The sequence below is a fragment of the Homo sapiens genome, chromosome 15, assembly GCF_000001405.40.
Source record: "Homo sapiens chromosome 15, GRCh38.p14 Primary Assembly".
Classification (NCBI taxonomy): domain Eukaryota; kingdom Metazoa; phylum Chordata; class Mammalia; order Primates; family Hominidae; genus Homo; species Homo sapiens.
Window position 1 is genome coordinate 25,176,141 of NC_000015.10, and position 27,791 is coordinate 25,203,931.

At 58.7% G+C, this 27,791-nt stretch overlaps 1 long non-coding RNA gene and 15 other non-coding genes across 16 annotated transcripts in view; all 16 read left to right on the forward strand.

Moving 5' to 3' along the window:
• The window catches only part of SNHG14 (small nucleolar RNA host gene 14), a 595,855-nt gene that overhangs the window by 352,533 nt on the left and 215,531 nt on the right, over nt 1-27,791 (forward strand). Inside the window, exons 69-96 of the long non-coding RNA NR_146177.1 lie at nt 1,017-1,059; nt 2,410-2,541; nt 2,924-2,967; nt 4,169-4,300; nt 5,670-5,755; nt 5,879-5,965; nt 6,057-6,188; nt 6,572-6,614; nt 7,801-7,935; nt 9,303-9,434; nt 9,820-9,863; nt 11,209-11,339; nt 11,722-11,765; nt 13,083-13,214; nt 13,601-13,644; nt 15,100-15,210; nt 15,577-15,622; nt 16,993-17,269; nt 17,507-17,551; nt 19,107-19,150; nt 21,242-21,373; nt 21,769-21,813; nt 23,122-23,251; nt 23,638-23,683; nt 24,996-25,126; nt 25,512-25,555; nt 26,900-27,030; nt 27,412-27,456. This is a non-coding gene — a long non-coding RNA (small nucleolar RNA host gene 14). The remainder of the gene's footprint in view (nt 1-1,016; nt 1,060-2,409; nt 2,542-2,923; nt 2,968-4,168; nt 4,301-5,669; nt 5,756-5,878; nt 5,966-6,056; nt 6,189-6,571; nt 6,615-7,800; nt 7,936-9,302; nt 9,435-9,819; nt 9,864-11,208; nt 11,340-11,721; nt 11,766-13,082; nt 13,215-13,600; nt 13,645-15,099; nt 15,211-15,576; nt 15,623-16,992; nt 17,270-17,506; nt 17,552-19,106; nt 19,151-21,241; nt 21,374-21,768; nt 21,814-23,121; nt 23,252-23,637; nt 23,684-24,995; nt 25,127-25,511; nt 25,556-26,899; nt 27,031-27,411; nt 27,457-27,791) is intronic.
• SNORD115-4 (small nucleolar RNA, C/D box 115-4) lies at nt 692-773 on the forward strand. Its single transcript, NR_003296.1, has one exon. It is a non-coding gene; the product is annotated as a small nucleolar RNA, C/D box 115-4 (small nucleolar RNA).
• SNORD115-5 (small nucleolar RNA, C/D box 115-5) lies at nt 2,598-2,679 on the forward strand. Its single transcript, NR_003297.1, has one exon. It is a non-coding gene; the product is annotated as a small nucleolar RNA, C/D box 115-5 (small nucleolar RNA).
• On the forward strand, nt 4,357-4,438 carry SNORD115-6 (small nucleolar RNA, C/D box 115-6). Its single transcript, NR_003298.1, has one exon. It is a non-coding gene; the product is annotated as a small nucleolar RNA, C/D box 115-6 (small nucleolar RNA).
• On the forward strand, nt 6,245-6,326 carry SNORD115-7 (small nucleolar RNA, C/D box 115-7). The gene has a single exon (NR_003299.1). It is a non-coding gene; the product is annotated as a small nucleolar RNA, C/D box 115-7 (small nucleolar RNA).
• SNORD115-8 (small nucleolar RNA, C/D box 115-8) lies at nt 8,166-8,247 on the forward strand. The gene has a single exon (NR_003300.1). It is a non-coding gene; the product is annotated as a small nucleolar RNA, C/D box 115-8 (small nucleolar RNA).
• SNORD115-9 (small nucleolar RNA, C/D box 115-9) lies at nt 9,491-9,572 on the forward strand. The gene has a single exon (NR_003301.1). It is a non-coding gene; the product is annotated as a small nucleolar RNA, C/D box 115-9 (small nucleolar RNA).
• SNORD115-10 (small nucleolar RNA, C/D box 115-10) lies at nt 11,396-11,476 on the forward strand. Its single transcript, NR_003302.1, has one exon. It is a non-coding gene; the product is annotated as a small nucleolar RNA, C/D box 115-10 (small nucleolar RNA).
• On the forward strand, nt 13,274-13,355 carry SNORD115-11 (small nucleolar RNA, C/D box 115-11). The gene has a single exon (NR_003303.1). It is a non-coding gene; the product is annotated as a small nucleolar RNA, C/D box 115-11 (small nucleolar RNA).
• Nucleotides 15,276-15,357, forward strand: SNORD115-12 (small nucleolar RNA, C/D box 115-12). Its single transcript, NR_003304.1, has one exon. It is a non-coding gene; the product is annotated as a small nucleolar RNA, C/D box 115-12 (small nucleolar RNA).
• On the forward strand, nt 17,181-17,262 carry SNORD115-13 (small nucleolar RNA, C/D box 115-13). The gene has a single exon (NR_003305.1). It is a non-coding gene; the product is annotated as a small nucleolar RNA, C/D box 115-13 (small nucleolar RNA).
• SNORD115-14 (small nucleolar RNA, C/D box 115-14) lies at nt 18,781-18,861 on the forward strand. The gene has a single exon (NR_003306.1). It is a non-coding gene; the product is annotated as a small nucleolar RNA, C/D box 115-14 (small nucleolar RNA).
• Nucleotides 21,436-21,516, forward strand: SNORD115-15 (small nucleolar RNA, C/D box 115-15). The gene has a single exon (NR_003307.1). It is a non-coding gene; the product is annotated as a small nucleolar RNA, C/D box 115-15 (small nucleolar RNA).
• Nucleotides 23,308-23,389, forward strand: SNORD115-16 (small nucleolar RNA, C/D box 115-16). Its single transcript, NR_003308.1, has one exon. It is a non-coding gene; the product is annotated as a small nucleolar RNA, C/D box 115-16 (small nucleolar RNA).
• SNORD115-17 (small nucleolar RNA, C/D box 115-17) lies at nt 25,183-25,264 on the forward strand. Its single transcript, NR_003309.1, has one exon. It is a non-coding gene; the product is annotated as a small nucleolar RNA, C/D box 115-17 (small nucleolar RNA).
• On the forward strand, nt 27,087-27,168 carry SNORD115-18 (small nucleolar RNA, C/D box 115-18). The gene has a single exon (NR_003310.1). It is a non-coding gene; the product is annotated as a small nucleolar RNA, C/D box 115-18 (small nucleolar RNA).

Consider the following 27,791-nt stretch of genomic DNA (forward strand, 5'->3'; position numbering starts at 1 on the left):
ACTCACCAGAGAAAGCATGTGGCCCTGGGACCCCAGGTCGTGGTTTCCAGTATGTGCCCAGATACAGCACATGGGTGGGTGCCCACCATGCACAGGGACTGGCTATGTGACTGCCAGCTGTGCAGCAGCATCAGGCATATGGGCCAGCCTCCTTGGTTGACAATGAACTGGTTGCTGGCCCTGGCCTGTGCCCAGTAGTCCTGGGGTGACCCTGGTGTCATACAGGGGAGCTGGCATGTGTAGTGGAGGTGCTTGTGGGGCTTGCAGTAGGGCACAGCCCTGGCTTCTAGCCTGAGCCCAGTGACCTGCCTGTCCTATCCTTTCGGTGTTCAGTGGCGGAGAGAGCATTGGGTGCCCTGCATCCATGATGGGTAAGTATTCCACATGGATCTCATCACATGGGTCCATGGAAGGTGAGCATCCCTGAGCTGGCACACCACACCTTCTGTCCACATGGAGGGGTGAGGTTGTGTTTGGGCACTTGTCCTCTTCCTGTTCCTTGAGATGGTGACCCCAGAGGAGGACATGCGTTGGGCCCGCTGTCCCTGGCCAGTGGCCATCAGCCAAGTGCCTAGCCCCTATTGCACTGAAACTCGGGCCCTTCCTGTCACCTTGGTCTCCTGCGTTGAGCTTGGGTGAGCCCATCCGGGTGCCACTGGATGCCTAGGCAGGGAGGGGGGTGCCCTGGGTTGGGTCGATGATGAGAACTTTATATTGTTCTGAAGAGAGGTGATGACTTAAAAATCATGCTCAATAGGATTACGCTGAGGCCCAGCCTAGGTGAGAATTTTGGAAGGGGACACTAGAATCCCGAGGTCCCCAGCAGGGCTGCTGTATTTTAGGCTGGATACCTCGAGGCCCTGAAGGGCACCTCATGGAGGGGCCCAATCCTGTCTGTGCTCCTCTATTAGGCACACCAGACTTTCTGTGTGGGCTTGGTGTCCACGCTCAGCTTCCCTGGGGTGGGACACGTTGGCGGCTCCTCCGTGAGCCCCATTATCCTCTGTGTCTTTCAGTGAGCTCTTCCCCCCAGCAGACCCCTGGGATTGACGAGCATAGGTGAGTGGAGACTGCTGGTGTCATGGGCCATGAGCCAAGCTGCGTGGGGTCCCCAAGGGTCAGCCCTCGGGCCACCTGGGTTTCCTCAGGAGCTGATCTGAATCCCAACTGGGGATGTGTTCTCCAGGAGGGCAGCTTCCTTGGGAATCAGACATAAGGAGGAGGCCTTCTCTGAAGCCCCGCAGGGGTGGCAGTTGTCCAGGCAGGAAAGGGTTTCCTCAGCCCCACGCAGGGCAGTGCTCAGCTCAGACTTGGTGCTTGGGTCAGGCCTCTAACATGGCCAGGCCACATGAGGGGGGCAACAAGGGCTCCGGGGAGCCAAGGGCATCTCACGGGGGCTCTCCAACCCTGGAGAAGGGTGGGTGATTCGGTCCATGGGGTCAGGCCATGGAGATTCATGGATTGCAGCAAACCCAGGACCCTCAATGGGACTGACCCTATAAGCAGTGGGCCCTCCCAGTGGCACCTCTTTGAGCCATTTGTGGGGCGGCGCTGTTTCTCTGAGGTTGGGTCAAGACTAGCTCTGGCCAGTGCCTGATGGTGGTGCAATCCACTCCTGGGACTCGTGGGCTCTGGGCCAAGGCTGCAGCCCATGTCCCGCTGGGGGTCACCCCTTCATTGTGGGCGAGTGGCAGTAATGGCCTCCTGAGTTGGGAAGGCCCGCAGTGGAAGGACCTTTCCTGGAAATTTGCAGTCCAGGCTGCTTCTCAGCCATTAGGACAACTCCAGCGGGTTGGGGGGCAGGGGCGGGTCTTAGGCCCAAAGAAAGGAGAAGATACCATATGTCTCCCGGTTGGCTGAGTGTGGCCCTGCTGTGTGTGTGGGAGGTGTTGTGTGGGGCATGGATTGGGACACACCAGAGAAAGCTTGTGGCCCTGGAGCCCCAGGCTGCGATTTCCAGTGCACCTTGAGGAAAGGAGGGTGGGTGCCCTCCATGCACAGGGCAGACTGTGCAACTGCCAGGTAGGCAACAGCACGTGGTGTCCGGGCCAGGGTCCTTGGTTTGCTGTGAGCTCTTTGGTGTCCGTGGCCCCTACCCAAGGATCCAGATACCACCCGGGGTCATGCAGGGGAGCTAGCATGGGCAATGGAGGTGCTCAAGGGGCCTGCAGTAGGGCACAGCCCAGGTGTCTTGCCTGAGCCCAGGAACCCACCTGCCCTGTCCTTCCATGGTTCAGTGGCTGGGAGAGCAAAGGGTTCCGCTGATCTATGACACATCAGTGTTTCCCATGGATCCCATCACATGGGTCCACGGAGAGAGAGCATGTGTGAGCTGGCACCCCCAACCCCATTCCCTGTATGGAGGCGTGAGCCCATGGTTGGACACATGTCCTCCTCCTGTCCCCCCAGATGGTGACTGTGGAAGAAGACTTGCTTTGGGACCGCTGGCCCCAGGCCAGTGGTTGTCATCCAGGTGCCCAGCCCTTGGTGCACTTGAGCTCAAGCCCTTCCTGGTGCCCTGGCCTCCTGCCCTAAGCTGTGGTGAGCCCATCCAGGTCCCACTGGATGCATGCATGGGGAGGAGGGTGCCCTGGGTTGGATCGATGATGAGAACCTTATATTGTCCTGAAGAGAGGTGATGACTTAAAAATCATGCTCAATAGGATTACGCTGAGGCCCAGCCTTGGTGAGAATTTTGGAAGAGGATGCTGAGATCCCAAGGTCTCTGGCAGGGCCACTGTATTTTGGGCTGGAGACCTGGAGGCCCTGAAGGGCATCTTAGGGGTGCCCGACCCCATCTCTGCGCTCCTCCTTGAGGCAGCCCAGGCTCCCTTGCGGGCTTGGTGTCAGCCCTCCAGTTCCCTGGGGTTGAGGCACATTGGAGGCTCCTTCCTGAGCCCCCATTCTCCCCTGTGTCTTTCAGCGAGCTCTTCTGCCCAGGGGGACCCCTGGCCTTAAGTGGGATAGGTAAGTGGATCCTGCTGGGGTCGTGGACCATGAGCCAGGTCGCTTTGGGTCACTGAGAGTCACCCTTCAGGCCACGAGGGATTCCTCAGGGAGCCCATCTGAAACCCACCAGGGACGGATGGTTTCTCCAGGAGGACAGCTTCCTTGGAAGTCGGTCCCAAGAAGGATGCCTTCCCTGAAGCCGTGCAGAGATGATGGACGTCCAAGCAGGAAGGGCTTCCTTCAACTCAATGCAGTGCACATCCTAGCTGAGACTCAGTGCACAAGTCAGGCCTGGAGGACTTCCCAGGCCACATGAGGGGGTCCACAGGGTCTCCAGGGGCCACGGGTGTTATGAGGGTGCTCTCTGTCCCCGAGGCTTGCAGAGGGGCAGGGTGTGGGTGATCGGACTTATGGAGTCAGGCCGTGAAGATTCAAGGATTGGGCCCAACCCATGGCCCAGCATGGGCCGAACCTGTAGAGCAATGGGCCATCCCGGTGGTGCATCCTTGAGCCTTGTGGGGGTGGTGTGACCTTAGTGGGGTTGGGTCAAGCCTGAGCTCTGGCCTTCACCTGGTGGTGCTGCAGGCTGGCCCTGGGAATTTGGGCTTTGGGCCAAGGGTGCAGTCTGTGTCCCGCTAAAGGTCACCCCTCCCCAAAGTGGAGTGGCCAGAAGGATGGCATCCTGTGGTAGAAGTCCCACTGTCAAGGGTCCTGTCCTGGCAATTTGTTGCCCAGGCTGCTTCTAAGCCATGGGTTCACCTCCAAAGTGGCGGGGTCTTGAGCCGAAGGAAAGGGGAAGACATCATGTGTTCCCTGATTGACTGAGCATGGCCTGGCTCTGCATTTGGAGGTGTGCGGTGCACGAATGGGGACCCATCAGAGAAGGCATGTGGCCCTGGGGCTCCAGGATTTGATTTCTGGTGTGAGCTTTTACAGGGGGTCTGTAGTGGCACGTAGCATTCAGGTCAGCCTACTTGGTTTGCTCTGAGCTTGTTGGTGGTCCTGGCCCTGCCCAGTGGTCCCATTGTGGCATAGAGTCATGTGAGGGAGCTGTGGCAAGGAGGGCCAAGGGTTCCCCACATTCATGATCGTTACTGTTTACATGGATCCCATCTCTTGAGTCCATGGAGGGACAGCATGTGTGAGCCAGCACCCCCTGCCCACTTTCCTGCATGGAGGCGTGAGGCCGTATTTCTATACGTGTCCCCCACCCCTCCAGATGGTGACCCCAGAGGAAGACGTGCATTGGGTCCGCTGGCCCCAGGCCAGTGTCTCTCAGCCATGTGCTCAACACCTGGTGAGCTGAAGCTCAGGCCCTTCCTGGCATCCTGGTCTCCTGCACTGAGCTGTGGTGAGCACATCTGGGTTCCTCTGGATACGTGTGCAGGGAGGGGGATGCACTGGGTCGGGTCAATGATGAGAACCTTATATTGTTCTGAAGAGAGGTGATGACTTAAAAATCATGCTCAATAGGATTACGCTGAGGCCCAGCCTAGGTGAGAATTTTGGAAGAGGATGCTGGGATCCCAAGTTCCCCAGCATGGCCAGTATATTTTAGGCAGGAGACCCTGAGGCTCTGAACGGCATCTCCGGGGGGCACAACCCTGGCTCTGGGCTCCTCTGGGAGGCAGCCCAGGTTCCCTGTGCAGGCTTGGGCTCTGGTTCCCTGAGCCCCCATTCTCCCTCGTGTGTTTCAGTGAGCTCGTCCTCCTAGGTGGGGCCCCCAGGCATTGACCGGCATAGGTGAGTGGTCCTGCTGGGGTCATGGGTCATCAGCAGGTTGGAGTCACCAAGGGTCAGCCTTTGAGACAGGAGGGTTTCCACAGGCAGCCGACCTGAATCCACACCATGGAGGGATAGATTGGTCCTCCAAGAGGGCTGTTTTTTTTCGGAATCAGACCCAAGGAGGATACCTTCCCTGCAGCCCTGCGGGGATGACGGTGGTCCAGGCAGGGAAGGGTTCCTTCAGTCTCACGCAGGTCAGCTCCCAGCTGAGTCTCAGTGCATTGGTCTGGCCTCCAGGACTGACCAGGCCACGTGAGGGGGGCAACAGGGGCTTCGGGATGCAGTGGGGTCACACAGGATCTCTCCATCCCCAGAGAAAGGTGGGCATAGAACCCATGGATTCGAGCTGCAGAGATTCAAGAATCGCACACGAATTATTGCCCTGAATGGGACCCACCCTGTTGAGCAATGTCCCATCCCAGGGCACCTCTTTGAGCCTGAAGGGGGTGGTGCTGTTTCCCTAGGTTTGGGTCAAGGCTGAGCTCTGGCCAGTGCCTGGTGGTGCTGTAGTCCTGTCATGGACTCGTTAGCTTTACGCCAAGGGGTCAGCCCACGTCCTACTGGGGATCTCCCCTTCCCTGTGGCTGGAAGTCACCCCTTCCCCATTGGCAAGTGTCAGGAAGGGTGACCTCCTGAGGTGGAAGTCCTGTTGAGGGTCTTGTCCCTGGAATATGCCACGCATGCTGCTTCTGAGCCATGGGGTCACCTCCAGGGTAGCGGGTCTTGGGCCCAAGGAAAGGAGAAGTCACCATGTGTCCCCCGATTAGCCAAGTGCGGCCCTGCTCTGTGTTTAGGAGGTGTGTGGGGCATGGATGGGGACCCACCAGAGAAAGCATGTGGCCCAGGGACCCCAGGTTGCAATTTCTAGGACATGCTGGGATAGGGCACCTGTGTGGGTGTCCACAGTGCACAGGGATAGGCTATGTGACTTGCAGGTCTGCAGCGGCATCTGGCATCCAGGCCAGCCTCCTTGGTGGGCCGTGAACTGAATGGTGGCGCTGGCCTGTGCCCAGTATATCTGGTATGACCCTGGGGTCGTGTGGGGGAGCCGGCATGGGCAGTGGAGGTGCTTATGGGACCTGCAGTAGGACACAGTCGGGGCTTCTTGCCCAAGCCCAGTGACCCGCTTGCCCTGTCCTTCCAGGGTTCGGTGGCTGAGAGAGCTTTTGTTGCCCTGTGTCCGTGACGGGCCAGTGTTCTGCATGCATCCCATCACATGGATCCATGGAGGGTGAGCATCCCTGGGCTGACACACCCCACCTTCTGCCCCCATGGAGGGGTGAGGTTGTGTTTTCACACCTGTCTTACTCCTGTTTCCCCAGATGTTGAGCCCAGAGGAAGACTTGCACTGGGCCCAATGGCCCCAGGTCAGCGTCCATCAGCCAGGTGTCCAGCCCCTGGTGCACTGAAGATCGGGCCCTTCCTGGTGCCCTGGTCTCCTGCATTGAGCTGTGGTGAGCACATCCGGATCCTGCTGGATGCGTGTGCGGGGAAGGGGGTGCCCTGGGTTGGGTCAATGAGAACCTTATATTGTCCTGAAGAGAGGTGATAACTTAAAAATCATGCTCAATAATAGGATTACGCTGAGGCCCAGTCTAGGTGAGAGGTTTGGAAGAGGATGCTGGGATTCCGAGGTCCCCAGGAGGGCCCCTGTATTTTTGGCTGGAGACCTGGAGGCCCTGAAGGGCATCTTGTGGGTGCCCAACCCTGTCTCTGCGCTCCTCCTTGAGGCAGCCCAGGCTCCCTGTGCAGGCTTGGTGTCAGCCCTCCAGTTCCCTGGGTTTGAGGCACATGGGAAGCTCCTTTCTGAGCCCCGTTCTCCTCTTGTGTCTTTCAGTGAGCTCTTCCACATGGAAGACCCCTGTCATTGACTGGCATAGGTGAGTGGCTGGCATCATGGGCCATGAGCCAGGCCGCGTGAGGTCGCCAAGGGTCAGCCTTCGGGAAAGAAGGGTTTCCTCAGGGAGCCAACCTGAATCCCCACTGGGAAGATATGGGTTCTCCAGGAGGGCGACTTCCTGGGAAACAAGAACCAAGGAGGTCCCCTTCCCTGAAGCCCTGCAGGGGTGACGGTGGTCCAGGCAGGAAAGGGTTCCTTCAGTTCCACCCAGGGCAGCTCCCAGCTGAGGCTCGGTGCTTGCGTCTGGACTTAAGGACTGCCCTGGCCATATGAGGGGTGCCACAGTGGCTCTGGGGTGCCATGGGGTCACACAGGCACTCTCTGTCCCTGGAGAAAGGTGGGTGATTGGGCCCATGGAGTTGAGCTGTTGAGATGCAAGTTTTGCACCTGACACATGGCCCTGAATGGGACCCACCCTGTTGAGCAATGGGCCATCCCATGGGCCTCTTCGAGCCTGAAGGGGGGCGGTGCTGTTTCACTGGGTTTAGGTCAAAGCTGACCTCTGGCCGCCACCTGGTGGTGCTGCAGTCCAGCCCTTGGACTCGTGGGCTTTGGGCCAAGGGGGCAGCCTGCATCCCACTGAAAGTCACCCCTTCCCTGTGGCTGGAAGTTATCCCTTCCTCATGGGCGAGTGTTGGGAAGGGTGGCCTCCTGAAGTGGGAAGGCCCGCTATTGAGGGTCTGCTCCTGGCAATTTGCTGCCCATGCTGCTTCTGAGCCATGGAGTCACCACCAGTGTGGTGGGGTCTTGGACCCGAAGAAAGGAGAAGACACTGTGCCCCCCGATTAGCTGAGTGTGGCCAGGCTGTGTGTTTGCGAGGTGTGAAGGGCATGGATGGAGACTCACCAGAGAAAGCATGTGGCCCTGGGGCCCCAGGTTGTGGTTTCCAGTATGTGCTTGGATATGGCATATGGGTGGGTGCCTACCATGCACAGGGACTGGCTATGTGACTGCCAGCTGTGCAGCAGCATCAGGCATACGGGCCAGCCTCCTTGGTTGACCATGAACTGGTTGCTGGCCCTGGCCTGTGCCCAGTAGTCCTGGGGTGACCCTGGTGTCATGTAGGGGAGCTGGCATGTGTAGTGGAGGTGCTCGTGTGGTCTGCAGTAGGGAGCAGCCCTGGCTTCTAGCCTGAGCCCAGTGACCTGCCTGTCCTGTCCTTTCAGGGTTCAGTGGCGGAGAGAGCATCAGGTGGCCCACGTCTGTGATGGGCCAGTATTCCACATGGATCTCATCACATGGGTCCATGGAAGGCGAGCATCCCTGAGCTGGCACACCCCACCTTCTGCCAGCATGGAAGGGTGAGGTTGCATTTGGCACCTGTCCTCTTCCTGTTCCTCGAGATGGTGACCCCAGAGGAGGACTTGCATTGGGCCCACTGTCCCCGGGCCAGTGGCCATCAGCCGGGTGCCTAGCCCCTGTTGCACTGAAGCTCAGGCCCTTCCTGTTGCCCTGGTCTCCTGCATTGAGCTTGGGTGAGCCCATCCGGTTGCCACTGGATGCCTAAGCAGGGAGGGGGGTTCCCTGGGTTGGGTCAATGATGAGAACCTTACATTGTTCTGAAGAGAGATGATGACTTAAAAATCATGCTCAATAGGATTACGCTGAGGCCCAGCCTAGGTGAGAATTTTGGAAGAGGACGCTGGGATCCCTAGGTCCCTGACAGGGCCACTGTATTTTGGGCTGGAGACCTGGAGTCCTTGAAGGGCATCTGGAGGGGGCCCAAACCTGTCTCTACGTTCCTCCATGAGGCAGTCCAGGCTCCCTGTGCGAGCTTCGTGTCGGTGCTCAGATTCCCCTTGGTGGTGCATGTGGGTGGCTCATCCCTGAGCCCCTGTTCTCCCCTTGTGTCTTTCAGTGAACTCGTTTGCCCAGGAGGACCCCTGGCCTTGAGCAGCATAGGTCAGTGGATCCTACTGGGGTCATGGGCCATGGACCAGGCCACGTGGGGTCACTGAGGGTCAGCTATCAGGACAGGAGGGATTCCTCAGGGAGACAACCTGAATCCCCACTGGTGAGGGATTGGTTCTCCAGAAGGGCCGCCTCCTTGGGAATCTGACCCAAGGAGGACACCTTCCCTGAAGTGCTACAGGAGTGACATTGGTCCAGGCAGGAAAGGGTTCCATTAGTCCCATGCAGGTCAGCTCCCAGCTGAGACTTGGTGCTAGGGTCTGGCCTTGAGGACTGCCCAAGCCACATGAAGGTGGCCCCAGGCTGTGATTTTTGGTGCGTGCTTGGAGAGGGAGTCTGGGCACCCTCCCTGCACAGGGGCAGGCTGTGCGTCTGCCAGGTCTACAGTGGCGCCTAGCTTCAGAGCAAGCTTCCTTGGTTGGCCTTAGCTGGTTGGTGGCCCTGGCTCCTACCCAGGGGTCACAATGCAGCCCAGGAAGTGCAGGGAAGCCGGCTTGGACAGTGGAGGTGCTCCAGGGGCCTGCGGTAGGGCACAGCCTCGGCATCTTGCCTGAGCCTAGTTACTCGCCTGTCCTGTCCTTCCAGGGTTTGGTGGTGGGGAGATACAAGGGTTCCCCAGGTCCATAACTGTCCTCGTTTCACATGGATCCCATCACATGAGTCCACGGATGTAGAGCATGTGTAGCCAGCAGCCCCTCCCCGCTTTCCTGCATGGAATCTTAAGGCCCTATTTGGACACCTTTCCCCGTCCCTCCAGATGGTGAGCACAGAGGAAGAATTGCGTTAGGCCCTTTGGCCCCGGACCAGTGTCTGCCAGCCACGTGCTCAGCCTCCCGTGCGCTAAAGCTCAGGTCCTTCCTGTCATCCTGGTATCCTGCACTGAGGTGTGGTGAGTCCATCCAGGTCCCTCTGGATGTGTGAGTGGGGATGGGGGTGTCCTGGGTTGGGTCGATGATGAGAACCTTATATTGTCCTGAAGAGAGGTGATGACTTAAAAATCATGCTCAATAGGATTACGCTGAGGCCCAACTTAGGTGAGAATTTTGAAAGAGGATGCTGGGAATCACAAGGTCCCCGGCAGGACCACTGTATTTTAGGCGGGAGACCTCGAGGCCCTGAAGGGCATATCATGGAGGGGTACCCAACCCAGTCTGTGCTCCTCCATTAGGCACACCAGGCTTCCTGTGTGGGCTTGGTGTCTGCACTCAGCTTCCCCGGGGGTGGGACACATTGGTGGCTCCTTCCTGAGTCGCATTCTCCTCTGTGTCTTTCAGTGAGCTCTTCCCCCCAGCAGGCCCCCTGGGATTGACTGGCAAAGGTGAGTGGATACTGCTCGTGTCATGGGCTGTGAGCCAAGCTGCGTGGGGTCCCCAAGGGTCAGCCCTCGGGTCACCTGGGTTTCCTCAGGAGCTGATCTGAATCCTGACTGGGGATGTGTTCTCCAGGAGGGCAGCTTCCTTGGGAATCTGACACAAGGAGGAGGCCTTCTCTGGAGCCCTGCAGGGGTGGTGGTGGTCCAGGCAGGAAAGGGTTTCCTCAGCTCCACACAGGACAGTGGAGCTGGGCAGTGCTCAGCTCAGACTTGGTGCTCAGGTCAGGCCTCTAGGATGGCCAGGCCACATGACGGGGGCCACAAGGGCTCCAGGGCACCACAGACATCTCATGGGGGCTCTCCAACCCTGGAGAAGGGTGGGCAATTTGGCCCATTGGGTCGGGTCATGGAGCTTCAAGGATTGCACCAAACCCATATCCCTCAATGGGACCGACCCTATTAAGCAATGGGCCATCCCAGTGGCACCTCTTTGAGCCATGTGGTGGGTGGCGCTGTTTCTCTGAGGTTGGGTCAAGACTAGCTCCGGCCAGTGCCTGATGGTGGTGCAGTCCAGTCCTGGGACTCGTGGGCTTTGGGCCAAGGGTGCAGCCCGTGTCCTACTGGGGATCACCCCTTCCTTATGAGGGAGTGGTGGGAAGGGTATCCTCCTGAGGTAGGAAGGCCCGCTGTGGAAGGAACTTTCCTGGAAATTTGCAGTCCAGACTGCTTCTGAGCCATGAGGTCATCTCCGGGGTGGCGGGGTCTTGGGCCCAAGGAAAGGAGAAGACACCATATGTCTCCCGATTGGTTGAGTATGGCTCCACTCTGTGTGTGGGAGGTGTTGTGTGGGGCATGGATTGGGACCCACCAGAGAAAGCTCGTGGCACTGGAACCCCAAGCTGCAATTTCCAGTGCACCTTGGGAAGGGGACTGGGTGCTCACCCTCCATGCACAGGGCAGGCTGTGCAGCTGCCAAGTTGGCAGTGGTGCGTGGCATCCGGGCCAGCGTCCTTGGTTCGCTGTGAGCTGGTTGGTGTCCTTGACGCCTGCCCAGGGGTCCCAGTGCTGCTTGGGGTCATGAGGGGAGCCAGCGTGGGCAAGGGAGGCCTGCAGTAGGGCACAGCCCGGGGGTCTTGCCTGAGCCCAGGATCCTGCCGGCCCTGTCCTTCCATGGTTCGGTGGCTGGGAGGGCAAAGGGTCCCCCACGTCTGAGACACATCAGTGTTTCACATGGATCTCATCACATGGGTCCATAGAGAGAGAGCAAGCGTGAGCTGACACCCCCCACCCCCTTCCCTGTATAGAGGTCTGAGCCCCTGGTTGGACACATGTCTTCCTCCTGTCCCCCCAGATGGTGTCTGTGGAGGAAGACTTGCCATTGGGTTGCTGGCCCCAGGCCAGTGGTTGTCATCCAGGTGCCCAGCCTTGGTGCACTGAAGCTCAGGCCCTTCCTGGTGCTCTGGTCTCCTGCACTGAGCTGTGGTGAGCACATCCGGGTCCCACTGGATGGGTGTGTGTGGTGGGGGGTGCCCTGGGTTGGGTCGATGATGAGAACCTTATATTGTCTGAAGAGAGGTGATGACTTAAAAATCATGCTCAATAGGATTACGCTGAGGCCCAGCCTAGGTGAGAATTTTGGAAGAGGATGCTGGGAATTACAAGTTCCCTGTGAAGTCCACTGTATTTTGAGCTAGAGACCTGGAGGCTCTGAGGGCATCTGGAGGGTGCCCAACCCTGTCTCTGCACTCCTCCATGAGGCAGCCCAGGCTCACTCTGTGGGCTTGGTGTCGGCGCTCCTGTTACCCAAGGGTGGGGTACTTTGGCATCTCCTCCCTGAGCCCCCATTCTCCCCTGTGTCTTTCAGTGACCTCTTTTGCCCGGCAGACCCCCTGGCATTGACCAGCATAGGTGAGTGGATCCTGCTGGGGTCATGGGTCATGAGCCAGGCTGTGTGGGGTTGCCGAGCATCAGCCTTTGGCTGCAAGGGTTTCCTCAGGAACTGACCCGAATGCCCACCTGGGATGGGTTCTCCAGGAGGGCAGCTTCCTTAGGAATCGGACCCAAGGAGGATACCTTCCATGAAGCCCTGCAGGGGTTGTGGTGGTCCAGGCAGTAAAGGGTTTCCTCAGCCCCATGCAGGGCAGCACCCAGCTGAAACTCGGTGCTTAAGTCAGGCCTCTAGGATGGCCCGTCCACATGAGGGGAACCACAAGGGCACTGGGGCGCCAAGGGGGTCTTATGGGGGCTCTCCGACCTTGGAGAGGTATGTGTGATTCGGCCCATGAGGTCAGGTTTTGGATTTTCAAGGATCTCTCCAAACCCATGGCCCTGAATGGGACCGACCCTATTAAGCTATGGGCCATCCCAGTGGTGCCTCTTTGAGCCAAGTGTGGGGTGGCACTGTTTCCATGAGGTTGGGTCAAGACTAGCTCTGGTGACCCCATGATGGTGCTGCAGTCTGGCCCTGGGACTCGTGGGCTTTGGGCCAAGGGTATAGCCCATGTCCCACCAGGGGCCACACCTTCCTTGTGGGCAAGTGGCGGACAGGGTGTCCTCCTGAGGTGAGAAGGCCTGCTGTGGAAGGACCTGTCCAGGCTGCTTCCAAGCTATGGGGTCACCTACAGGGTGGTGGGGTCAAGGAAAGGAGAAGACACCATGTGTCTCCCGATTGGCTGAGTGTGGCCCCACTCTGTGTGTGGGAGGTGTTGTGTGAGGCATGGATGGGGACATATCAGAGAACACACGAGGCCCTGGGTCCCCAGGCTGCAATTTCCGGTGTGGTGTGGAGCAGGGCCTGGGTGCTTGCCCTCCACACACAGGGGCAGGCTGTGCTACTGCCAGATTGGCAGCAGTACGTGGCATCCAGGCCAGCCTCCTTGGTTGGCCGTGAGACGGTAGGTGGCCCTGGCTGACACCCAGGGGCCAGTACAGCCCTGGGGTCATGTGAGGCAACTGGAGTGGGTAGTGGAGGTGCTCAAGGTGCCTGCAGTAGGGCATAGCCAGGGCGTCTTGCCTGAGCCCAGTGACCTACCTGCCCTGTCCTTCCAGGGTTCAGTGGTGCAGAGGGCCAAAGTTCCCCTGTGTCCATGACACATCAGTGTTTCACATGGATCCCATCACATGGGTCCATGGTGGGAGAGCAATCGTGAGCTAGCATCCCCCACCCCCTTCCTGCATGGAGGCGTGAGGTTCCATTTGGACACATGTCCACCTCCTGTCCCCCAGATAGTGAGACTGGAAGAAAACTTTCATTGGGCCCGCTGTCCCGGGGTGAGTGGTCATCAGTCAGGTGCCCAGCCCTTGGTGTGGTGAAGCTCAGGCTCTTCCTGGCGCCCTGGTCTCCTGCACGGAGCTGCGGTGAGCACATCCGGGTCCCGATGGATGCATGCGTGGGGATGGAGGGCGTGCCCTGAGTTGGGTCAATGATGAGAACCTTATATTGTCCTGAAGAGAGGTGATGACTTAAAAATCATGCTCAATAGGATTACGCTGAGGCCCAGCTTAGGTGAGAATTCTGGAAGAGGATGCTGAGATCCGAAGTCCCCTGGAAGGGCCACTGTATTTTGGGCTGGAGTCCTTGAGGCCCTGAAGGACACCTTCGGGGTGCCCAACCCAGTCTCTGCACTCCTCTGTGTGGCAGCCAAGGCTCCTTGTGCAGGCTTGGTGTTGGCATTCTGGTTCCCTGGGGGTGGAGCACATCGACGGCTCCTCCCTGAGCCCCCGTTCTTCTCTGTGTCTTTCAGTGAGCTCTTCTACCCAGGCGGGCCCCTGCCCTTGAGCGGCATAGGTGAGTGGATCTTGCTGGGGTCACGGGCCAAGAGCCAGGCCACGGGGGGTCGCTGAGGGTCACCTTTCAGGCCACGAGGGTTTCCTTAGGGAGCTGACCTGAATCCCCACCAGAGATGGATGGTTTCTCCGGAAGGGCAGCTTCCTTGTTAATTGATCCCAAGAAGGACGCCTTCCCTGAAACCCTGCAGGGGTAATGGAGGCCCAGGCAGCAGAGAGTTCCTTCAACCCAATACAGTGCAGCAGCTTGTTGCCTTGATGCTCCCCCTCCCTGGAGAAAGGTGGGCATAGGGCCCGTGGAGTTGAGTTGCAGAGATTTAAGGATCGCACAGGACTTATTGACCTAAATGGGACTGACCCTGTTGAGCAACGTGCACTTGGTGCATGGGTCAGGTGTGGAGCACTGCCCAGGCCACATGAGGGGTCCACTGGGTCTCTGGGGGCCACGGGTGTTATGCAGGAGCTCTCCGTCCCCAAGGCTTGCAGGGGGGTAGGATGTCGGTGATCGAGCTTATGCAGTCAGGCCGTGAAGATTCAAGGATTGGGCCCAACCCATGGCCCTGATGGGACCGACCCTGTTGAGCAATGGGCTATCCCACTGGTGCCTCCTTGAGCCTGGTGGGGGCAGTGCGGCCTCAGTGGGCTTGGATCAAGGCTGAGCTCTGGCCAGCACCTGGTGTTTGGCCCTGGGAATCGTGGGCTTTGGGCCAAGGGTTCAGCCTGTGTCCCACTGGAGTTCATCCCTACCGGAAGTGGAGTGGATGGAAGGGTGGCATCCTGTGGTGGAAGACCCACCGTTAAGGGTCCTGTCCTGGCAATTTGATGCCCAGGCTACTTCTGAGCCATGGAGTCACCTCCAGGGTAGCAGGGTCTTGAGCCAAAGGAAAGTTGAGGACATCATGTGTCCTCTGATTGGCCGAGCGTGGCCCAGCTCTGTGTTTAGGAGGTGTGCGGTGCATGAATGGGGACCCACCAGAGAAGGCATGTGGCCCTGGGGCCCCAGGATGTGATTTCTGGTGTGTGCTTATAAAGGGTGCCTGGATGGGTTCATTTAATGCCCAGGGGCAGGCCATGTGACTGCCAGGTCTGCAGTGGTACGTGGCATCCAGGCCAGCCTCCTTGATTTGCTGTGAGCTATTTGGTGCCCATGGCCCTGCCCAGTGGTCCTGATGCAGCCCAGATTCGAGCAGGGGATTTGGCGTGGGCAGTGGAGGTGCTCCAGGGTCCTGCACTAGGGTGCAGCCTGGGCGTTTTGCTCGAACCCTGTGACCCTCCTGCCCCGTCCTTCCAGGGTTCAGTGGCCAAGGGTTCCTCGCGTAAATGACCATCACTGTTTTACATGGATCTCATCTCATGAGTCCATGGAGGGAGAGCATGTGTGAGCCAGCACCCCCTGCCCACTTTCCTGCATGGAGGCATGAGGCCTTGTTTGGACACCTGTCCCCCACCCTTCCAGATGGTGACCCCAGAGGAAGACTTGCGTTGGGCCCACTGGCTCTGGGCTCAGCCCCTGGTGAGCTGAAGCTCAGGCCCTTCCTGGCACCCTGGTCTGCTGCACTGAGCTGCGGTGAGCCTATCTGGGTCCCACTGGATGCATGGGTTGCGGGGCAGTGGAGGGTGATGCCCTGGGTTGGGTCGATGATGAGAACCTTATATTGTCCTGAAGAGAGGTGATGACTTAAAAATCATGCTCAATAGGATTACGCTGAGGCCCAGCCTAGGTGAGAATTTTGGAAGAAGGTGCTGGGATCCGGAGTTCCCTGGAATGACCAATGTATTTTGGGCTGGAGACCTTGAGGCCCTGAACAGCAGCATCTCGTGGGGGCCCAACCCCTTCTCCGTGCTCCTCTGTGAGGCAGCCCAGGCTCCCTGTGTGGGCTTGGTGTTAGTGCTCCGGTTCTGTGAACCCCCATTCTCCCCTTGTGTCTTTCAGTGAGCTCTTCCACCCAGGTGCAACCCCCTGGCATTGACCAGCATAGGTGAGTGGTCCCGCTGGGGTCATGGGTCATCAGTCATGCAGTGTGGGGTCACCAAGAGTCAGCCTTTGAGACAGGAGGGTTTCCACAGGCAGCTGACCTGAATCCACACCATGGAAGGGTAGGTTGGTCCTCCAAGAGGGCTGTTTTTTTGGGAATCGGACCCAAGGATGATATCTTTCCTGCAGCCCTGCAGTGATGACGGTGGTCCAGGCAGGAAAAGTTTCCTTCAATCTCATGCAGGGCAGCTCCCAGCTGAGTCTCAGTGCACTGGTCTGGCCTCGAGGACTGACCAGGCCACGTGAGGGGGGCCACAGGGGCTTTGGGATGCCATGGGGTCACACAAGAGCTCCCCATCCCTGGAGAAAGGTGGGCATAGAGCCCATGGAGTTGAGCTGCAGATATTTAAGGATCACACAGGATTTATAGCCCTGAATGGGACCGACCCTGTTGAGCAATGTGCCATCCATCCTATGGTACCTCTTTGGGCCTGGATGGGGTGTTGCTGTTTCCCTAGGTTTTGGTCAAGGCTGAGCTCTGGCCAGTGCCTGGTGGTGCTACAGTCCAGCCACGGACTTGTTAGCTTTAGGCCAAGGGATCAGTCCACGTCCTGCTGGGGATCTCCCCTTCCCTGTGGCTGGAAGTCACCCCTTCCCCATTGGCAAGTGTGAGGAAGGGTGGCCTCCTGAGGTGGAAGGCCTGCTGTTGAGGGTCTTGTCCCTGGAATATGCCACCCACACTGCTTCTGAGCCATAGGGTCACCTCCAGGATAGTGGGTATTGGGCCAAAGGAAAGAAGTCACCATGTGTCCCCTGATTAGCCAAGTGTGGCCCTGCTCTGTGTTTAGGAGGTGTGTGGGGCATGGATGGGGACCCACCAGAGAAAGCATGTGGCCCTGGGACTCCAGGTTGTGATTTCCAGTTCATGCTGGGATAGGGCACCTGGATGGGTGCCCACAATGCACCGGGGCAGGCTATGTGACTGCCAGCTTTGCAGCGGCATCTGGCATCCGGGCCAGCCTCCTTGGTTGGCCATGAACTGGTTGGTGGCCCTGGCCTGTGCCCAGTAGCTCTGTCGTAATCCTGGGGTCATGCGAGGGAGCCGGCATGGGCAGTGGAGGTGCTCGTGGGACCTGCGGTAGGACACAGCCAGGTCTTCTTGCCCGAGCCCAGTGACCCACCTGCCCTGTCCTTCCAGGGTTCAGTGGTTGAGAGTACAGGGTGACTTGTGTCTGTGACAAGCCAGTGTTCTGCATGGATCCCATCACGTGGATCCATGGACGGCAAGCATCCCTGAGCCGCCACACCCCACCTTCTGCCTCCATGGAGGGGTGAGGTTGTGTGTGGACGCCTGTCCTACTCCTGTTTCCCCAGGTATTGAGCCTGGAGGAAGACTTGAATTGGTCCCAATGGTCCCAGGCCAGCATCCATCAGCTAGGTGCTGAGCCCCTGGTGCACTGAAGATTGGGCACTTCCTGGCACCCTGGTGTGCTGCACCGAGCTGTGATGAGCACATCCGGGTCCTGCTGGATGCATGCGCCGGGAAGGACGTGCCCTGAGTTGGGTCGATGATGAGAACCTTATATTATCCTGAAGAGAGGTGATGACTTAAAAATCATGCTCAATAGGATTACGCTGAGGCCCAGTCTAGGTGAGAGTTTTGGAAGAGGATGCTGGGATCCTGAGGTCCCCTGGTAGAGCCAATTGTATTTTGGGCTGGAGACCTGGAAGCCCTGAAGGGCATCTGGGAGGCCCAACCCTGTCTCTGTGCTCCTCCATGAGGCAGCCCTGGCTCCCCATGTAGGCTTGGTGATGGCCTTCCTGTTCCCTGGGGGTGGGGCACATGGGTAGCTCCTCCCTGACCCCCATTCTCTCCTGTGTCTTTCAGTGAGCTCTTCCCCACAGGTGGGCCCCCTGGCATTGACTAGCATCGGTGAGTGGATCCTGCTGGGGTCGTGGGCCGTGCACCAGGCTGCATGGGGTCACCAAGTATTAGCCTTCAGGACAGGAGGGTTTCCTCAGGGAGTCGACCTTAATCCTCACCTGTGGAGAGATGGGTTTGTCCTCTAGGAGGGCAGCTTCCTGGGAAATCAGACCCAAGACGATGCCTTCCCTGAAGCCCTGCAGGGGTGACGGTGGTCCAGTCTGGAAAGGGTTCCTTCAGTCTCATGCAGGGCAGCTCCCAGCTGACACTTGGTGTGAGAGTCTGTCCTTGAGGACTGCCCAGGACAAATGAGTGGGACAACAGAGGCTCCCGGATACCACAGGGATCACTCAGGGGCTCTCCGTCCCTGGAAATGGGTGGGCGATCGGGCCCATGGGGTGGGGCTGCGGAGATTCAAGGATCGTGCCCTGCTCATGGCCCTGAATGCAAATGACCCTGTTGAGCAATGGGTCACACCAGTAGCTCCTTTTTGAGCCTGGTGGGTGGCGGCTCAGCTTCAACTGGTTGGGTCAAGGCTGAGCCATGACTGGTGCTTTGTGGTGCCGCAGGCCAACCCTGGGACTCATGGGCTTTGGGTCAAGGGTGCAGCCCGCCTGCTGCTGGGGGTCACCCCTTCTTCGAGGTCAGTGGCGGGAAGGGTCACGTCCCGAGGTTGGAAAGCCCCCTCATGAGGGACCTGTCCTGGGAATTTGTTGCCCAGGCTGCTTCTGAGCCATGTGGTCACTTCCGGGTGGCGGGGTCTTGGGCCCAAGGAAAGGAGAGGGCACCATGTGGCTCCTGATTGGCTCAGTGTGGCCCAGCTCTGTGTTTGACAGGGGTCTGGGGTGTGGATGAGGACCCACCAGACAAAGCACGTGGCCCTGGGCCCAGGCTGTGATTTCTGGTGCGTGCTTGGAGAAGGATCCTGGGCAGGCATTCTCTCCAAACAGGGGCAGGTTGTGGGACTGCCAGATTGGCAGCAGTGCCTGGCATCCAGGCCAGCATCCTTGGTTGGCTGTGAGCTGGTTGGTGACCTTGGACCCTGCCCAGGGTTTCCGTTGTGGTCCAGAGTCATGCAGTGGGGCCAGTGTGAGCAGTGGAGGTGCTCCAGGGGCCTGCTGTATGGCACAGCCAGGGCATCTTACCCAAGCCCTCCTGCACTGGTCTCCTGCACTGAGCTGTGGTGAGCCCATCTGGGTTCCTGTGATGCCTGTGCGGGGAGGGGGTTGCCCTGGGTTGGGTCGATGATGAGAAACTTATATTGTCTGAAGAGAGGTGATGACTTAAAAATCATGCTCAATAGGATTACGCTGAGGCCCAGCCTAGGTGAGAATTTTGGAAGAGGATGCTGGGAATTATGAGTTCCCTGGCAGAACCACTGTATTTTGGGCTGGAGACCTGGAGGCTCTGAGGGCATCTGGAGGGTGCCCAACCCTGTCTCTGCGCTCCTCCGTGAGGCAGCCCAGGCTCACTATGTGGGCTTGGTGTTGGCACTCCTGTTACCCGGGGGTGGGGCATTTTGGCATCTCCTTTCTGAGCCCCCAATCTCCCCTGTGTCTTTCAGTGAGCTCTTCTGCCCAGCAGCCTCCCTGGCAGTGACCAGCATAGGTGAGTGGATCCTGCTGGGGTAATGGCCCATGAGCCAGGCTGTGTGGGGTCACCAAGCATCAGCCTTCAGCCATAAGAGTTTCCTCAGGAGCTGACCCGAATGCCCACCTGGGATGGGTTCTCCAGAAGAGTGGCTTCCTTGGAAATCATACCCAAGGAAGATACCTTCCCTGAAGCCCTGCAGGGGTTGCAGTGGTCCAGGCAGTAAAGGGTTTTCTCAACCTCATGCAGGGCAGTGCCCCACTAAGACTCAGTGCTCTGGTCAGGCCTTTAGGATGGCCAGGCCACATGAGAGGGGCCACAAGGGCTCTGGGGCACCAAGGGGTTCTTGCAGGGGCTCTTCAACCTTGGAGAGGTGTGTGTAATTCAGCCCATGAGGTCAGGCTGTGGATTTTCAAGGATTGCACCAAACCCATGGCCCTGAATGGGACAAACCCTAATAAGTTATGGGCCATCCCAGTGGTGCCTCTTTGAGCCAAGTGTGGGGTGGCACTGTTTCCTAAGGGTGAGTCAAGACTAGCTCTGGCTGGCACCTGATGGTGGTGCAATCCTGCCCTGGGATTGGTGGGCTTTGGGACATGGGTACAGCCCATGTCCCATTGGGGTCACCCCTTCATTGTGGACAGGTGGCGGGAAGCATGTCCTCCTGAGGTGGGAAGGCCTGCTGTGGAAGACCCTGTCTCAGAAATTTGCTGTCTTGGCTGCTTCTGAGCTATGGCGTCACCTCTGTGGTGGCGGGAGTCTCGGGTGAATGGATCCTGCTGGGGTCATGGGCCATGAGCCAGGCCGGGGTGGGGTCCCTGAGCGTCACCTTTCGGGTCATGAGGGTTTCCTAAGGGAGCCGACCTGAATCCCCACCAGGGATGAATGGTTTCTCTGGGAAGCAGGTTTCCTTGGAAATCAGTCCCAAGAAGGACACCTTCCCTGAAACCTTGCAGGGGTAACAGAGGTCCAGGCAAGAGAGGGTTCTTTCAACCCAACGCAGTGCAGATCCTAGCTGAGACTTGGTGCACAGGTGAGTCCTGGAGGACTGCCCAGGCCACATGAGGGCATCCACAGGGTCTCCGTGGCCAGGAGTCTTATACGGGAGCCCTCTGTCCCCGAGGCTTGCAGAGGGGTTGGGTGTGGGTGATCTGGCTTACGGAGTCAGGCCGTGAACATTCAAGGGTCGGGAACCACCCATGGCCCTGAATGGGACCGACCCTGTTGAGCAATGGCCATCCTGGTGGTGGCACCTTGAGCCTGGTGGGGGTGGCGCTGCCTCAGTGGGGTTGGGTCAAGGCTGAGCTCTGCCTGTCACCTTGTGGTTGGCCCTGGGAATCATGGGCTTTGGGCCAAGGGTGCAGCCTGCGTCCCGCTTGAGGTCACTCCTACCTGAAGTGGAGTGGCCGGAAGGGTGGCATCCTGTGGTGGGAGACCCACGGTCAAGGATCCTGTGCTGGCAATTTGCTGCGCAGCCTGGTTCTGAGTCATGGGGTCACCTCCAGGGTGACAGGGTCTTTGTCAAAGGGAAGGAGAGGACATTATGTGGCCCCTGATTGGCCAAGCATGGCCCAGCTCTGTGTTTGGGAGGTATGCGGTGCCTGAATGGGGACCCACCAGAGAAGGCACATGGCCCTGGGGCCCCAGGATGGTATTTCTGGTGTGAGCTTATAAAGGGTGCATGGATGGGTGCATTCCATGCCCAGTGGCGGGTTATGTGACTGCCAGGTCTGCAGTGGCACATGGGGTCCGGGCCAGCCTCCTTGGTTTGCCATGAGCTGGTTGGTGGCCCAGGCCCTGCCTAGTGGTCTCATTGCAGCCCAGAGTCATGTGGGGGAGCTGGCGTGGGCAGTCGAGGTGCTCCAGGGTCCTACAGTAGGGTGCAGCCTGGGCGTCTTGCTGGAATCCCATGACCCACCTGCCCTATCCTTCCAGGGTTGAGTGGCAGGGAGGGCCAAGGGTTCCTCGTGTGCATGACTGTCACTGTTTTACATGGATCTCATCTCATGAGTCCATGGTGGGAGAGCATGTGTGAGCCAGCACACCCTACCCACTTTGCCCTATGGAGGCACAAGGCCCTGTTTGGACACCTGTCCCCCACCCCTCCAGATGCTGACCCTGGAGGAAGAATTGCACTGGGCCCACTGGCCCCGGGAAAATGTCCCTCAGCCAGGTGCTTAGCCCCTGGTAATCTGAAGCTCAGGCCCTTCCTGATGCCCTGGTCTCCTGCACTGAGCTGTGGTGAGCACATCTGGGTCCCAATGGATGCATGCATGCGTTGTGGGGTGGTGGTGTCCTGGGTTGGGTCGATGATGAGAACCTTATATGTTCTGAAGAGAGGTGATGACTTAAAAATCATGCTCAATAGGATTACGCTGAGGCCCAGCCTAGGTGAGAATTTTGGAAGAGGATGCTGGGATTTCTAGGTCCCTGTCATGGGCACTGTATTTTGGACTGGAGACCTCCGGGCCCTGAACAGCATCTCGGGGGGGACTCTACCCTGTCTCCACATTACATGTGAGGCAGCCCAGGCTCCCTTTGTGGGCTTGGTGTCTGCACTCTGGTTCCCTGTGGTAGGGCAGCTTGCTGGGTCCTTCCTGAGCCCCTGTTCTCCCTTTGTGTCTTCTGTCTTTCAGTGAGCTCTTCAGCCCAGGTGGGCTCCCTGACACTGATGCGCATAGGTGAGTGGATTCTGCTGGCATCATGGGCCATGAGCCAAGCTGCGTAGGGTCACCAAAGGTCACTCTTTAGGCCACGTGGGTTTCCTCAGGGAGCCGACCTGAATCCCCACCAGGTTGGGACAGTTTCTCCAGGAGGCTGGCTTCCTTGGGAATCAGACCCAAGACAATGCCTTCCCTGAAGCCTTACAGGGGTAACAGTTGTCCAGACAGGAAAGGGTCCCCTCAGTCCCATTGAAGGCAGCTCCCAGCTGAGACTCAGTGTGCGAGTCTGGCCTCAAGGATGGCCCAGGCCACATGAAGGAGGCCACAGGGGCTCTGGGGTGCCACAGGGGTCACACGAGAGCTCTCTTTCCCTGGAGTGGGGTGCTCGAATGAGCCCATGGGGTCAGGCTGCAGAGATTCAAGGATCGCATCCCAACCGTGGCCCTAAATGCGACCGACCATGTTGAGTAATGGGCCATCTCAGTGGGGCCTCTTTGAGCCTGGTGGGGGGCGGGGCTGTTTCCCTGGGTTTGGGTCAAGGCTGAGCTCTGGCCAGCGCCTGGTGATGCTGCAGGCCAGCCCAGGTTCTTGTGGGCGTTGGTCCATTCGGCAGCCCTGTCCTCCTGGAGGTCACCCCTTGCCTATTGGTGATTGGCTGGATCCTGAGGTGGAAAGACCTGCTGTTGATGGTCCTGTCCCAGGAATTTACCACCCAGGCTGCTTCTGAGCCATGGGGTCACCTCCAGGGTGGCGGAGTCTTGGGGCTAAGAAAAAAGAGGACACTATGTAGCCCACGGTTGGCCAAGGGTGGCCTGACTCTGTGTTTGGGACATGTGCGGGGCATGGATAGGGACCCGCCAGAGAAAGCACGTGGCCCGGGGACTCCAGGCTTCGATTTCAGGTGTGGCTTGCAAATAGCACCTAGGCAGGTGCCCACCACGCCCTGGGGCAGGCTATGCAACTTCCATCTCCACAGTGGCGCATGGCTTCTGGGCCATTCTCCTTGGTTGGCCATGAGCTGATTGGTTCCCCTGGCCTGTGCCCTGTGGTCCCGGAGTGGCTCTGGGATCGTGTGGGGCAGCCAGCATGGACAGTGGAGATGCTATCAAGGCCTTCAGTAGGGTGCAGCCCAGGTTTCTTGCCTGAACCCAGTGACCCACCTACCCTGTGTTTTCAGGGTTTGCTGACAGGGAAGGCCAAACGTGCCCCACGTCCATGCTAGGTCAGTGTTCCTCATGGACCCCATCACATGGGTATCCCTTACCCCTTCCCCACATGGAAGTATGAGGCTCTGTTTGGACACATGTCCTCTTCCTGTCCCCCCAGATGGTGAGCCTGGAGGAAGACTTGCATTGGGCCCAATGGACCCAGGCCAGTGGCCATCAGCCAGGTGCCCACCCTGGTGTGCTGAAGCGCGGGACCTACCTGTTGTCCTGGTTTCCTACACTGAGCTGAGGTGAGCACATCTGGGTCCCTCTGGATGCATGCATGGGGCGGGGGGTGCCCTGGTTTGGGTCAATGATGAGAACCTTATATTATCCTGAAGAGAGGTGATGACTTAAAAATCATGCTCAATAGGATTACGCTGAGGCCCAGCCTAGGTGAGAATTTGGAAGAGGATGCTGGGATCCCAAAGTCCCAGTAGGGGACTTTATTTATTTATTTTGGGCTGGAGCCCTGGAGGCCCTGAAGGGCATCTGGGGGGCCCAGCCCTGTCTCTGTGCTCCTCCGTGAGGCAGCCCAGCCTCCCTGTGTGGGCTTGCTGTTGGTGGTCCAGTTCCTTGGGGCGGGGCACGTGGACAGCTCCTCCTTGAGCCCCCCTGCTCCACTTGTGTCTTTCAGTGAGCTCTTCAACCCAGGCGGGGCACCCTGGCATTCACCAGCATAGGTGAGTGGATCCTGCTGCCATCGTGGGCCATGGGCCAGGCTGGGTAGAGTCACTGAGGGTCAGCCTTCGGGACAGGAGAGTTTCCTCAGGGAGCGAACCTGAATCCCCACCAGGGAGGGATAGGTTGGTCCTCCAGAAGGGTGGCTTCCTGAGAAATCGGACCCAAGGGGGACGCCTTCCCTGGAGCCCTGCAGTGATGACGGTGGTCCAGGCAGGAGAGGGTTCCTTCAGTCTCACACATAGTAGCTCCCAGCTGAGTCTAGGTGTTCGAGTCTGGCCTTGAGGACTGCCCAGGCCACCTGAGGGGCCAACAGGGACTCTGGGACACCATGGGGGTCACATAGGAGCTCTCCATTCATGGAGAAAGATGGATGATAGGGCCCATGGAGTCGAGCTGTGGAGATTTAAGGATTGCGCCCAATGTATGGCCCTGAATGGGACAGACCCTGTTGAGTAATGAGCCATTCTATGGGCCTCATCGAGCCTTGAGCGGGGCGGTGCTGTTTCCCTATGTTTGAGTCAAGGCTGGACTCTGGCCGGTGCCTGGTGGTGCTGAGGTCTGGCCATGGACTCGTTGGCTTTGGGCCAAGGGGTCAGCCTGCTCCCCCTGGAAGTCCCCCCTTCCCCGTGGCTGGAAGTCATCCCTTCCCAAGGGGCAAGTGTCGGGAATGGTTGCCTCCTGAGGTTGCAAGGCCTGCTATCTAGGGTCTTGTCTTTGGAATATGCTGCCCATGCTGCTTCTGAGTCATGGGGTCACCTCCAGGGTAGCGGATCTTGGGCCCAGGGACAGAAGATGCCGTGTGTCCCCTGATTAGCTGATTGTAGCCCTGCTCTGTGTTCAGGAGGTGTGTGGGGCATGGATGCAGACCCACCAGAGAAAACTGTGGCCCTTAGACCCCAGGTTGCAATTTCCATTATGTGCTGGGATAGGGCATCTGGGTGGGCACCCACTATGCACAGAGATAGGCTATGTGACTGCCAGGGCTGTAGCGGCATCTGACATCTAGGCCAGCTTCCTTGGTTTCCTGCGAATGAGTTGGTGGCCCTGGCCTGTGCCTAGTAGTTCTGGGGTGACCCCGGGTCGTGTGGGGGAGCCAGCAGGGGCCCAGTGACCAGCCTGCCCTGTCCTTCCAGAGTTCTGTGGCTAAGAGAGCACTGGGTACCCTGTGTCCGTGATGGGCCAGTGTTCCGCATGCAAACGATCACATGGGTCCATGGAGGGCAAGCATACTTGAACTGCCACACCCCACCTTCTGCTCACATACAGGAGTGAGGTTGTGTTTGGACAGCTGTCCTACTCCTGTTCCCCTAGACTGTGAAATGGGAGGAAGAATTGTGTTGGGCCCAATGGCCCTGGGCCAGTATCCGTCAGCCTGGTGTCCAGCCCCTGGTGTGCTGAAGCTCATGCCCTTCCTGGTGCCCTAGTTTCCTGCACTGAGCTTGGTGAGCCCATTTGGGTACTGCTGGATGCATGGGTGGGGAGGGAGGTGCCCTGGGTTGGGTCGATGATGAGAACCTTATATTGTCCTGAAGAGAGGTGATGACTTAAAAATCATTCTCAAAAGGATTATGCTGAGGCCCACCCTAGGTGACAATTTTGGAAGAGGACACTGGAAATCAATGAGGTCCCTGGCAGGGCCACTATAATTTGGGGTGGAGACCTGGAAGCCCTGCAGGGCACCTCGTGGGGGCCCAACCCTGTCTCTTCACTCCCCTGTGAGGCAGCCCAAGCTCCCTCTGTAGGCTTGGTGTCGGCACTCTGCTTTCCTGGAGGCGGGGCATTTTGGCTGCTCCTTCCTGAGCCCCTGTTCTCCCCTGTGTCTTTCAGTGAGCTCTTTTGCCCAGAAGACTCCCTGGCATTGATCGGCATAGGTGAGTGTCTCCTGCTTGGGTCATGGGCCATGAGCCAGACCATAGGGTTGCCGAGGGTCAGCATTTGAGCCATGAGGGTTTCCTCAGGAGGCGACCTGAATCCCCACCTGGGATGGGTTCTCCAGGAGGGCAGCTTCCTTGTGAATCTGAGCCAAGTAAGATGCCTTCTCTGAAGCCCTGCAGGGGTGCCAGTTGTGCAGGCAAGAAAGGGTTCCCTCAGCCCCAGGCAGGGCAGCGCCCAGCAGAGACTCGGTGGTTGGGTTAGGCCTCTAGGATGACCAGGCCACATGAGGGGGGCCACAAGGGCTCTGGGGCACAACAGGGGCTTCGCAGGGTCTCTGCGACCCCAAAGAGTGGTGGGCGATTCGGCCCATGGGATCGGGCCCCAGATTCAAAGATCACACCACACCCATGGCCCTGAATGGAACCGACCCTGTTAAGCATTGGGGCATCCCAGGGGTGCCACTTTGAACCTGGTGTGGGGTGCCGCTGTTTGCCTGAGGTTGGGTCGAGACTAGCTCCGGCCAGCACCTGATGGTGGTGCAGTCCGGCCCTGAGATTAGTGGGCTGTGGGCCCAGGGTGCAGCCTGTGTCCCGCTGGGGGTCACCTCTTCCTTGTGGGCGAGTGGTGGAAGGGCATCCTCCTGAAGTGGGAAGGCCCGCTGTGGAAGGAACTGTCCTGGAAATTTGCCATCCAGGCTGCTTCTGAGCCATGGGGTCGCCTCCAGAGTGGCAGGGTCTTGGGCCCAAGGAAAGGAGAGGACACTGTGTTTCCCTCAATTAGCTGAGTGTGGCCCTGCTCTCTGTGTGGGAGGTGTTGTGTGGGGCATGGATAGGGACCCACCAGAGACAACACATGGCCCTCGGGCCCCAGGCTGCAATTTCTCAGTGCATGCTTGGAGACGGTCCTGGGCCTCCTCCATGCCCAGGGTCAGGCTGTGCAACTGTCAGGTTAGCGGCGGCATGTGGTGTCTGGGCCTGTCTACTTCGTTGTCCGTGAGCTGCTGGTGGCCCTAGCCCTTTCCCAGGGGTTCAGGTGCAGCCCTGGGGTTGTGTGGGACAGCCAGTGTGGGCAGTGGAGCTGCTCTGGAGGCCTGCTTTAGGGTGCAGCCTGGGTGTCTTGCCCGAGTGTAGTGACCCGCCTGCCGTGTCCTCACGGGGTTCCCTAGCAGGAAGGGCCAAGGGTCCCCTGTGTCTGTGACACGTGAGTGTTTCCCATGGGTCCCATCAAATGGGTCCACGGAGGGAGAGCATGAGTGAACTGGTACCCCCCACCCCCACCCTCTTCCCCACCTGGAGGCATGAGCCCCTGGTTGGACATATGTCCTCCTCCTGTACCCCCAGATGGCAGCGCTGGAGGAGGACTTGTACTGGGGCCGCTGGCCCCACATCAGTGTCCGTCATCCCGGCGTCCAGCCCCTGGTGTGCTGAAGCTCAGGCCCTTCCTTGTGCCCTAGTCTCCTGCACTGAGCTTGGTGAGCCCATTCGGATACTGCTGGATGCATGGGTCGGGAGGGAGGTGCCCTGGGTTGGGTCGATGATGAGAACCTTATATTGTCCTGAAGAGAGGTGATGACTTAAAAATCATTCTCAAAAGGATTATGCTGAGGCCCGGCCTAGGTTAGAATTTTGGAAGAGGATGCTGGGATCCTGAGGTCCCCAGGAGAGCCCCTTTATTTTTGGCTGGAGACCTGGAGGCCCTGAAGGGTATCTGGGGGGCCCAGCCCTGTCCCTATACTCCTCTGTGAGGCAGCCCAGGCTCTCTGTGTGGGCTTGGTGTTGGCACTCTGGTTTTCTGGGGGCGGTTCAGGTTGCTGGTTCCTTCTGAACCATTGTTCTCCCCTTGATTCTTTCAGTGAGCTCTTCTGCTCAGGCGGGTCCCCTGGCATTGACCAGCATAGGTAAGTGGATCCTGCTGGGTTCATGGGCCATGAGCCAGACCACATGGAGTGACTGAGGGTCAGCCTTCAGGACAGGAAGATTTCCTCGGGGAGCCAACCTGAATCCCCACCGTGGAGGGATGTGTTAGTCCTCCAGGAGGGTGGCTTCCTAGGGAATCTGACCCCAGGAGGACACCTTTGCTGAAGCCCTGCAGGGGTGATGGTGGTCCAGGCTGGAAAGTTTTCCTTCAGTCTCATGTGGGGCAGCTCCCTGCTGACATTCCGTGCCTGCGTCTGACCTTGAGGACTGCCCGGGCCACATGAGTGGGGCAACAAGGGCTCCAGGGTGCCACGGG